The sequence below is a fragment of the Homo sapiens genome, chromosome 19 (genome assembly GCF_000001405.40).
Source record: "Homo sapiens chromosome 19, GRCh38.p14 Primary Assembly".
NCBI lineage: Eukaryota > Metazoa > Chordata > Mammalia > Primates > Hominidae > Homo > Homo sapiens.
This window is the reverse complement of record NC_000019.10, coordinates 31,493,751-31,505,503: the sequence shown is the minus strand read 5'-3', so window position 1 is coordinate 31,505,503 and position 11,753 is coordinate 31,493,751. Positions and strand designations below refer to the sequence as shown.

Below are 11,753 nucleotides of genomic sequence, written 5' to 3'. Positions count from 1 at the left end.
GCAGGGCAGGAGAACAAGGAAAACACATACAACGTGTTACCTCCAAACACTTCTGTCCCAGCTGCCCGCAGTCCTCCCGGCCGGACTCTAGAAAAGGAAGAAAAGCAGGAGGAGAAGTAAAATCCTGGATAAATCCAGCCTGGCCGAGGATTCACACTTTTCCGGTGGACCACGGTTCTCTGACTATGGTGAGTGCTGTCCTCAGACCAGCAGCATCGGTGTCACCTAGGACCTTGTTAAACATGCAGGTTCTCAGGCCTCACCCCAGACCTCCTCGGTCAGGAGCCCTCAGGGCTGGGGCCGCAGCCCTACAGGTGATGCCGAGGTATGCCAAGGTGTGGAAGTCATGGCCCTAGATGTACAGTGGGATCCAACGTACATCCAGTGGCATTTGCTCCTGAACAGACCTAGAGTTAGAAGGAGGCACATGAGTTTTTGTTTAAATGATGGTAGATGAGCCTGGCACAGTGGCTCATGCCTGTAATCTCAGCACTTTGGGAGGTGAAGGTGGGCGGATCACCTGAGGTCAGGAGTTTGAGAGAAGTCTGGCCAACATGGTGAAACCCTGTCTGTACTAAAAATGCAAATATTAGCAGGGCATGGTGGCGGGCACCTGTAGTTCCAGTAGTTCCAGCTACTTGGGAGGCTAAGACAGGGGAATCCCTTGAACCTGGGAAGCAGAGGATGCAGTGAGCAGAGATTGTGGCACTGCACTCCAGCCTGGGCAACAGAGTGAGATTCTGTCTCAAAAAAAAAAAAAGAAAAGGAAAGAAAGAAAGAAAAAATGATGGTAAATGACAGACTGATGGGTTGATGTCTTCTGAATTGACTGAAGATCCAACAGTCCGTGTCGCTGCAGACACAGGGCGATGCGGTCCCTCAGGCTGTATGGAGATGGTGTATGCATCACTCTTCTTCTGTGCTCTGTGAGGTTTTCCTGAGTGTGGTCAGGCCAGTGCCCTGTCCCACTGCCATTTACCTGGTGAGTTGAAGTGGCTGTCCCCTACCTGGCCCACATGAAAACCATGCCTTCTCAGCATGCTCAGGTTACTAAGGAAACTACCAAGGTGCCCTGGTCTACACAGGCCACGCACAGTCAGCCACATGCATCTGGGGGTCACCTGAACAGCCGAGGACAACAGCAAGGAAGACCTGTCAAAATGACAGCTGGCCACACTCCACCTCCACTGTCCAGGAGGGATTTGTAACTCTAGAGTCCACATAGGTGAAGAGAAGAGCAAGAGAGAATTTGAGACCTGGGTTACATGATTTGAATCCCAGGGTTGACCCAGAGGTGTCCACATTTCCCTGCTGCTAAAAATAAGACACATCGGATGGCTTTCACCAGTGTACTGTCCCCGGGCTCCTGTAGGGATTGCAGCACAGGACGGATTCCTGCAGGCTACCCCAGGTGGGGCATTTGGACTTTAGGGCTGGCTGTCGACATTAGAGGGGCAGTGATGAACAGAATAGCAAACCTACCTGCACACCTATTATTTTTCTCTCTTTGTGTGTTTACAAAAGTATGAGTTTCATACCCACCACCCCCCCACCAATGCTCTCCATCTCTATTATGCAAAATAAGTCTTTTATTTCCCCCTTCCTCCTTGCCCCCTTTCCTCCTCCCCTCCCTCCCTCCCTTCCCTCCTGCCTTTTCTCTCTCTGCCTCCCAGCCCTAGTAGAGTGACTGAGACACATGAGTAGGTAAATCACAGCCTAGCTGAGCCGTATGTGGAGACCCAAGTTTGCCAAAGTGCTGATGAGCTCTCCGCGGGTCACAGTCTCATCTTCTCCCACTTATTATCTCCTGCAAATGCTCATTCTCTGAACAGGCTTGTAGCATAGGTCTAAGGGAATCTCTGCAACTCACACATTTTCTTTGCAAACAGTCATTGAGTGCTTCTGTGCCAGATCTCAACTGGCACTCGGAGGGTCACAAATACCGATAAGATAGGGCCTGGCCCTCCAGTGTGGACCAGCACCAAACATGGAAGCCACCTCATAGGAATCACCTGAAGAGGAGCCAATGAGATCCCCAAGGGGCAGGGTGCTCCTGCTCCCAGGGCCTCGGGGAAAATTCACTGTCTAGAAGACATCTCACAGAACAGGAGGCTACGAGAGTCCTCAGGGCGATGAGGGGAAAGTGATTTATCTCATCACAGCATCTTCTGATCAGCCCTGTCTCACCTGGCAGGTGCAGAGAGCTTGGAGTGGAGGCACGGTGGGATGCCGGGGGTGGAAATGTGGTCTCAGCTCAAAGCTCCGAGGAGAGGGTGGCACACGAGTCATGAAATATAGGTGGAGAAGGTCACTGAAATGGAAAATTTCTCTGCATCCATGGAAAGGGCAGACTCGGAGAAGCTGGGATGACACCAGTGAATTCTCCTCAGGATACGAAAATGCATGTGCTTGTGCTCACAAACTGCCAAGACCTCCAGGGCGTGATCTGCAGTGGGTGCCCCGGACCTGCAGAGGGTGGTCTGCTGTGAACGCCCTCGACCTGCAGAGGGTGATCTGCCAGAGGGTGATCTGCGGTGGGTGATCTGCGTTGAATGCCCCGGACCCGCAGAGGGTGATCTAGGGTGAATGCCCCAGATCTGTAGAAGGTGATCTTTGGTGGGTGCCCTGGACATGCAGAGAGTGATCTGCAGTGAGCGCCCCAGACCTGCAGAGGGTGATCTGCGGGTGGGTGCCCCCAATCTGTAGAAGGTGATCTGCGGTGGGTGTCCTGGACCTGCAGAGGGTGATCTACTGTGGACGCCCCAGATCTGCAGAAGGTGATCTGCGGTGGGTGTCCCAGACCTCCAGAAGGTGATCTGCAGTGGGTGCCATCCTAAAATCTAGCCAGGCACTAACGGTGTCTTTTCCCTCGGTCTCACCCTTATTCCCACAAGGATAAAGGGCCACTTCCAACCATCTGGAAGGCTCAAAGAGGCCCCACAGGAAGAAAGCCTCCCACTGGCCCCATGAACTAAGGGATGCCCTTCCTTCCACTCAGAATTGTAGTTTCTCATCCTGAGAGTTGAAGGAGAGGGCATAAGAAGACACCATCCTTCCCAGAGGCCAAGGATTCCAGGTTAACAATGAGGCCAACAGTTATCTTATACCATACACATACTTCTGAAATTATAATGCAGCTTTGCCAATTCTCATTGAGCTTGGGAAACAATGTGACCCTTAGCTTATTTTCTGCCCAGCTTCCCTCAGTCTATCATAGGCTCTTGTCTGATAGACAACTGGTAGAACTCTCTAGTTCTTTTTCCCCAGTCACCACAGCCATCCCTCCCAAATGTAGGAAAGGGCTTGGGGGGCATAGAGAGATAGGAGGAATGTTATGAAACCGCTTAGGCCAAGTATTTCACTTTTCAACTTGCAGCGAACACCTCGTGGGTTTGTTCTCCATCTCATCTACTTGGCAGTGACCTTGGCTCCTGCAGTAATCCCTACAATGCCTCCCCCATCTTTGGCCAAATAAAAAGTGATTCTTGGTCACCTCCCATGTGGCTTATCCTGAGTCCCGGTACACAGAGCAGATGGGACCAGCCCTAAGGAAGCCCAGGAGGGACTCACTCCAGCAAACATGACCAAACCACTCCAGAAAGACAGAGGCTGAGCCTTGCAGTACTTGAGGCTGGAAAGGGTGTAGACACTAGAACCATTCCCATTTTAGATACTGAGGCTGAGGTCTAGAGATCCTAAATGCCACACCCAACAGCACATAGCTATACCCAAAAAGATCAAATCCTGGAGCTCAGGCCTAGCCTGCTCCAGCAAGCAAGCTCTTCACCCTGTTCCACTCACTCACTAGCCAGCTTAAGCTCCTCCTCCTGCAGGAAGCCCTCCTGATTGACTCCAGCCTGCTCCACACTCATCTGTCACACATATGTTACCTCTCTGGGTTTGGTCACTCTCTGGCAGCCTTGGGCCTGTGATGTGACAGGTGCTGTCTTTCCCCTTGTTCCCCCATCTGGGCACACAATGGCAGGAGATGCTCAGAACCCACTTGCCAACAGAATGCACTGCCTGTTGAAAGAGCTCCAAATTATCAGTCTTCAGCCTGGGCAATCTACAAGGGGTGTGGTGGGTCCAGGGGGAGATTGACTTATGATCTCTGGGTTCATAGGAGCCTTTGGAGGGAGGGCTGTGAACTGCAATGGTGGCTGAATAAGAGAGAGAACCAGTCCCGGAATGAGAAGGGGACAGGAGAGGGTCTGTGATGGGAAGGCTAAAATATACTGCCTTTGATTTTCATGCTAGCAAAACCCTGGCTTGTCCCACAGCACCAACACATGGCTGAGGGAGAGCAGAAAGAGAAATTCATACGCAGCTGCAGGACACTGAAGATTCTTGGCATCTATGAATAACGAAGACTTCCACGGCTGCCGCAGTGAGTGGCAAGGGATGTGGCCAGCCGCCAGGAGTGCTGCGGCCAGGGCGGCCGGCAAGCCCATGCCCACCAGTCACGACCCTGCAGCTACAGCTCATCACACCCCCAAACCAAAAATGGTCAGTTTTTTTTTTCATTTTTCAAGAGAAATTGCAAATCTCGCTCTTTACATAGGCTATCCCAATTAAAAATTTTATATCATTGAAAACAATTTCAACACTCAACAGACCAAGTGAAACCTTTCAATGGGCCAGGTGAGGCCTGAGGCCTTTCCGTTGATGGCCTCTGATTGGAGCTCAGTCCTTCCCCCTTTGCTTGGTCTTAGAGGATAGGACAGGGCTGGGGACACAGCTGGCAGCTGCCAGGGGCTTCCTTTTCTGGGAGTCCTGGTCAGGTGGTACTTCTCTTTGGGAGTGCTGCCCCATGTCCCTGACAGTGTCCCTCCAGGCCCCAGGCCTCCTGTCCTTGGTCCTCCCTCCTCTGCTGTTGGCAAGCACAAGCTCACCCCGTGCACGGGGTCCTGAGTCCCCGTGCCCATCTCCCCAGGCACTTTCCACTGCTTCTGTTCATCCAGCTCTGTCCCCAGCAGGACGCTGCTGCCCGCCTGCCTGACAACTGTCAGCCCGAGGTGTGGACACCTTCTCCTTGGTGGCTTCCCCTTTTTCATTAGGTTTGACAATGCGTTTTTCTGAGATTAATAGTGCAGGGGGAGCCAGGATATGAGGCTTTTAGTGGTGACAAACTGCCAGGCCCAGGTGGCTCTGGAAGTGGTGCAGCAGGAAGAGGCCAACAGCTGCACCCCACAGGGCTGGAGGAGAAGGAGTGAGGGCTGCCATGTCCATCAGAGCCTGGATCCGGCTGGACTGGGGCAGCCCTGCTCCTTATCCCTGCCCTTTCCCATGCAGCAAAGTCAGTCCTCCCCAACACCGTGAGCCGAGCAGCAGAGACCCCACCCCCAGCACACACAGCCCCAACACACCTGTGAGTGTCTGTTGTGGGCTGCTGCTAGGCGCTGGTGCTCATCAGAGGGTAGGAAGAGGCCAAGAAGGCCAGGCTCTCCAGGTTGGCTCCCCATGCTCAGGCACTTCTGTTCTCAGCCCTGTTTGTCCTGTCCTCCTGGTTCCTGCCTCTTCCACCAGCCCAACCTGGGACTCTGCAGAGAAAGGAGGGCTTGAAAACCCAAGGAAGCAAGAGTGCACACCCATCTGGATGCTTCCATGACACCCGTCCCTACTATCTGCCTTCTGTCACCACCGCCCAGTCCCCAGAACAGCAAACCACACCTTTCTCATTGTGTGGGAAGAAAGGGCCTTGGGGTATAATCCAGGAAATTCAAGGAAAAGATGCACATCTATTAATTCTCAAAAACATTTTTTTCAAGATACAGCACTCTCTTCACATACAAACACATATGCTTACATGCATAGATATATACAAATATATACATACACACACACACACACACACATGCATGCTCCGAAACACAAGCATAGCCTCACATATGCACATATATGCACATATATGCACCTGCTTACACAGGCTCAAATGCACATGTGAACTCAGAGGTGTACTTATACATGCACAAGTCAGACATGCACACTTACACACACACGCACACACACACACACACCCCCCTGCTCTTTCCCTGGGAACCGCCTCTGACCCTAGCTCAGGTTCAGCTTGAATCTCTAGGCTGGAAGGGCCTGTAGAGATGTGTGTAAGGGCCTCCTTAGACCAATAAGCACCCTGCAGCCCAGAGAGGTGAAGGAGTTTTCCCAGGGCCACACAGCTTTTCAGGACCTGAGCTAAGCCTGAAACCCTGACATAGCTACTCCAACCCAGGGTTTTTGTCCAGGTGAACTAATTCCTTAGACTTTTTGGGTAAAAATACTTCACAGTTTATATTACTTCTTTTAACTTTCGTGATTCATTTGGGAGGTCATTGTCATTATGACAATTGAGCTTGTTTTCTGGATTGGGAAATTTAGGCCTAGACGGGAGAAATGTTTCACCCAAACATGGAGCTGGTAATACAGGTAGGCCTTGTCTCCAGACCCCTGGCTCCAAGGCTGAATCGCTTGGGTCCACTCAGCAGTCTTCACCTCTCCTAAGGGACTGAATTATCACCTGATCTGATGGAAGTCCTTTCTCTGCCCTCAGCCCTCAGCTCTGTTGGACCGTGGGAAGAATGGAGCTGATGGTAAATATTTTCTGACAACATGTAAAAATTGTGTGACCTTGGGCAGGTCACTTCAGCTAGCTAGGCTTTCATTTACCAAGCTACAAAATACAGGGAGAGTGGCAATAGCTATCTTTTGGGGTTGTTTTAATAATTAAATTCATAAATATGCATATATTGTTAGACGGCAGGGCATTGTACAAAAATGTGAGAAAATGTTGTTGAGAACTGCTTTAAAGAGCTTAGGACAATGACGGCACAGATGGGGGCTCTTTCTCCATGGAATCTCTCATTCTGTCGTTTGTCTGCTGTGGCTAGGAAGCAACTGTCAAAGGCAGGTAACTGAATGCAAAAAGATATTTACAACGACTGAAACTGACAAGGGACTAATATCAAGGCTAGAGAAGGACCTCCTGCAAAACAAACAGAAAGACAGCAGCCTAATATAAATATGGGGGAAACGTATGAACAAGCATTTCTCAGAAGGGAAAACCCAAAAAGCTTAGAAGCATGCGAAGAAGTGTTCAAAATCGTTAGTAATCAGAAAAACACAATTTTAATGGATGAGCTGTTACTTGGCAACTATTAGGCAAAATTAGTAAGAGGCAATGCTAAGTAAACAGCAGAGACATGAGGGCAGAGGGGCCTGGGGCACTGATGTTGGGAGAATAGAATCTGAAGCCCTGCAAAGGGGCCGCCTCTAATATTTCTTGGAGATTCATACCCTGAATTCATACGTTCCAGCTCTCTTTTGCTGCATAGCAAGCCACCGTATACTCAGTGGCTTTAAAAAATCAATTATTACTCTGCTCATTAGTCTTCAAACTGGGCAGTGCTTAATAGGGAAAGCTTATCTCTGCTCCTTGTGGCCAGGGTAGCTCAAAGGCTGGGGGGTGACTTGATAGCTGGGGGCTGGAACCACCAGAAACTCACTCTCATGCCTGGCACTTGCTTGCTGGCCATCAGCTAGCAACCTAGTTGAGGCTGTTGGCCGGGATTCTTCCAGGTGACTTCATCTTGTGGCTGCTTGGCTGCCACTCAGCATGGGGACTATGTCCCAAGAGTGAGGGGCCCCACAGATCCAGAAAAAGGTGCATGATATTTCAATGACCTAGCCTCAGCATTATGTAGCACCGTTTCAACTGGCTGCAACCCAGGATCAAGAAAAGAGAATGGGAACTTCACCTCTCAATGAAGAGTGTCAACCTCACATTCTAGAAAGTGTGTGAGGATGGGATAGGTATGGTCATCATTTTTAGAAAATGCTGTCTTCTATATTCTATTACCCAGGATCTCTGCCCCTGGGTTTCTACCTCAAAAGGGATTCTCATTCAGGTCCACAGGATATTTCTGGCCATGTTACTGCAGTATTGATTTTGGTAGTACAAAGTTGGAGGTGAGCAGATGTCCACCACTGAGATATTAGAGAGTTGAGACATGATACACAAAACAGCATTACCCTGACACAAGACTGTTAGCTCAGGTTGGTGCTGTGGCTCACACCTGTAATCCCAGAACTTTGGGATGACAAGGCAGGCTGATCACTTGAGGCCAGGAGTTCCAGACCAGCCTGACCAACATGGTGAAATCCCATCTCTACCAAATATACAAAAATTAGCTGAGCATCATGGTATGTGCTTGTAATCCCAGGCACTTGGGAGGCTGAGACAGGAGAATAGCTTGAACCCAGGAGACAGGGGTTGCAACGAACTGAGATCATGCAACTGCACTCCAGTCCGGGTGATAGAACAAGATCCTGTTTCAAAAAAAAAAAAAGAAAGAAAGAAAGTGTTAGCTCATGGCAATGTTAATGGCTCATTAAAAGAGATAGATCAACTGATCAATAGATCAGTCAATCGATAGCTAGATATAGATAAAGACATGTAGATATCATATATATCTTATTTTAATAGGTCAACAGTTAACACCATAAGATGTATAGTGCAATATCAGTTGTATAAAGACACTTATACACAAAACAAAAATTCATCTTTTCCAAGAACATTTACAAAATAAATGAATAGTTTCAACACATTACAAATGGCATCTCATGTTTGAGGACAGGACATGGGAATGGAGAAGGAAAAGACAAAAGAAGCCATACTTTTTAAAAAGAAGAGGAGGAACCAAGAAATGGACTCACACAGGCATTCATTCAATTTTTAAAACAGCACAGTTGCACCCTCTCATCCATGGTTTCATTCTCCACGGTGTCCATTACCTGTGGTCAATCTTGGTCCAAAAATACTAAATAGAAAGTTTCAGGCCAGGCGTGGTGGCTTATGCCTGTAATCCCACACTTTGGGAGGCCGAGGCAGGTGGATCACCTGAGGTCAGGAGTTCAAGACCAGCCTGGCCAACATGGTGAAAGCCCGTCTCTACTAAAAAATAAAAAAAAATTAGCCAGGCATGGTGGCAGGCACCTGTAATCCCAGCTACTTGGGGGACTGAGGTAGGAGAATCACTTGAAACCGGGAGGCAGAGGTTGCTGTGAGCTGAGATTGTGCCATTGCATGCACTCGAGTGCGGGCAATAAGAGCAAAACTCTGTCTCAAAAAAAAAAAGTTTCAGAAACAAACCATCCATAAGTATTAAGTTGCTGGGAGTTCAGCATAGTGCGATGAAATCCGGCACCGCCGGCTCTGTCCCACGGAGGATGGACGTCATCCCCTTGTCCTGCATATCCATGCTGTAGGTGCCGCCCACCACTAGTCACTCAGTAGCTGTCTCAGTTATCAGATTGACGGTCATGGAATCTCATCACATAGGCCTTTTATCATCCCATGTCATCACAAGAAGAAGGCTGAGTGCAGTACAGTAAGTTATTTAGAGAGCAAAACGGCATGCACACGACTGTGATTGCAGCGTATTGTCTAATTGTCCTATTTCATTCTTTTTTTTTTCCCAACAAATGGCACTTGAATAACGTTGAGATGGAGTTTTGCTCTTGTCGCCCAGGCTGAAGTGCAATTGTGTAATCTCGGCTTACTGCAACCTCTGCCTCCTGGATTCAAGTGATCCTCCTGCCTCAGCCTTCCAAGTAGCTGGGATTACAGATATATGCCACCACGCCCAGCTAATTTTTGTATTTTTAGTAGACATGGCATTTCACCATGTTGGCCAGGCTAGTCTCAAACTCCTGACCTCAGATGATTCACCCTCCACCCACCTCAGCTTCCCAAAGTGCTGGGATTACAGGCATGAGCCACCATGCTTAGCCTGCCCTATTTCATTTTTAGTTATTATTGTTCATCTCTTATTATGCCTAATTTATAAATTAAACTTTATCATAGATATGTGTGTATAAGACAAAACACAGGGTACGTAGGGTTTGGAACTCTCTGTGGTTTCAGGCATCTGCTGCGGATCTGGGAACATCTCTTTCATGGATAAGTGAGGACTAGTATAATAGGGAAAAAAAGTTTTTCCACAATATAAGATGGACGATAGACTTAAATATTCAAGCTAAATCATAAAGCTTTAAGAAGAAAACAGAATCTCCTTGTGAACCAATAGTAGGCACAAGATTTTGGATAGGGGCACAGCACACAGTGGCCATAAAAAAAAAAAAAAGGCATGATAGGCCAGGGGCAGTGGCTCACGCATGTAATCCCAGCACTTGGGAGGCTGAGGCAGGCAGATCACCTGAGGTCAGGAGTTTGAGACCAGCATGGCCAATATGGCGAAACCCCATCTGTACCAAAAATACAAAAATTAGCGAGGCATATAGTGGCGCATGCCTGTAACCCCAACTACTTGGGAGGCTGAGACCCGAAAATTGCTTGAACCCAGGAGGCGGAGGTTGCAGTGAGCAGAAATCGCGCCATTGTACTCCAGCCTGGGTGACAAGAGCGAAACTCGTCTCAGAAAAAAAAAAAAAAGAAGAAGAAAGAAAGAAAAGCATGATAATTTACACTTCTTCAAAATTATAAAATGCTGCTCATCAAAAGAAGCCACTATGAAAATAAAAGACAAGACACAGACTGGGAAAAATAGAAGTAAAACATGTCTCACAAAGTGCTACTATGGAGGACATATAAAGGATCCCACATTTCAATAATAAAAGGACAAATAACCAAATTAAAGAAATGAAAGCAAAATATTTAAACAAACACTTCACAAAACAAGATAAAGGGATGGCCAACAAGTACGAGAAACGGCACTCAACATCATTAGCTAATAGTGAAATGCGTGTTAAAACTGCAATGGGACACCCCTTATCACCTGGCAGAATGCTTCACATTCAGTTCAACAACACCTAATATGGGCAAAGATGTGGGGCCGGTGAGAACCTTCCTATATTGTTGGTGGGAAGATAAAATAGTACATTCATTTTGGCAAAAGTCTTGGCATTTTCTTATAAAACTAAAAGCATACCTAGCCAGTGACATGACAATTCCCCTCCTAAGTATTAATTAGGAAGAAATGAAAACATAAGATTACATCAAGACTTGTACCTAAATGCTCACATCAGTTTTATTCAAATGGTGGAAATGGCCTAAAAAATGGATAAACAAATTCTAGCATATTTGTATAATGGAATACTTCTCAGCAACAAAAAAGAACAAACTATTGATACCTACAGCACACAAATGATGCTTGAAAACTTTCTGCTGAGTAAAAGAAGCCCTACCCAAAAGATTGTAAGATCTATGATTCTATATAGGTAAAGATTCAGGGCAGGCAAAACTAATCTATAAAGGGAAAAACCTGGAGTAGTGCATGCCTCTGTGGAGTTGGGTGGAGGATGGGTCAGAAAGGGGCTTCAGGGAACTTTCTAGAAGAAGATAATGTTCTACATCTTGATAGAGGTTAGGGTTGTAATGGTGTACATATTGTCAACACTCATAATTAGTGCACTTAATATTTGTATATTCATTTTTATGTAAACTTTACAACAAAGGAGAAAAAGCACTAAAATATTGAAGTAAATACTCAAGTCTTGGCAGGTAAGTCTACTGATATCTGCAATTTACCTTGATATGCATTTGAAAAATAGATTCATCAGCATATAGAAGTTCAGATCAATGGATAGATAGACATATTTTTTTTTTTTTGAGATGGAGTTTCACTCTTGTTGCCCAGGCTGGAGTCCAGTGGTGCGATCTTGGCTCACTGCAACCTCTGCCTCCTGGGTTCAAGCAATTCTGCTGCCTTAGCCTCCCGAGTAGCTGGGATTACAGGCAC

The 11,753-nt window shown here is 47.5% G+C and overlaps 2 annotated features.

Annotated features, from left to right (window-relative positions):
- Window positions 4,709–5,293: an enhancer, noted in NCBI's record as "H3K27ac-H3K4me1 hESC enhancer chr19:31991117-31991701 (GRCh37/hg19 assembly coordinates)". NCBI's record gives its function as "activates a minimal SCP1, AML or CMV promoter by ChIP-STARR-seq in naive H9 embryonic stem cells {active_cell/tissue: H9 hESC(naive)}" and the evidence as "EXISTENCE:reporter gene assay evidence [ECO:0000049][PMID:30033119]".
- Window positions 5,294–5,878: an enhancer, noted in NCBI's record as "H3K27ac-H3K4me1 hESC enhancer chr19:31990532-31991116 (GRCh37/hg19 assembly coordinates)". NCBI's record gives its function as "activates a minimal SCP1, AML or CMV promoter by ChIP-STARR-seq in naive H9 embryonic stem cells {active_cell/tissue: H9 hESC(naive)}" and the evidence as "EXISTENCE:reporter gene assay evidence [ECO:0000049][PMID:30033119]".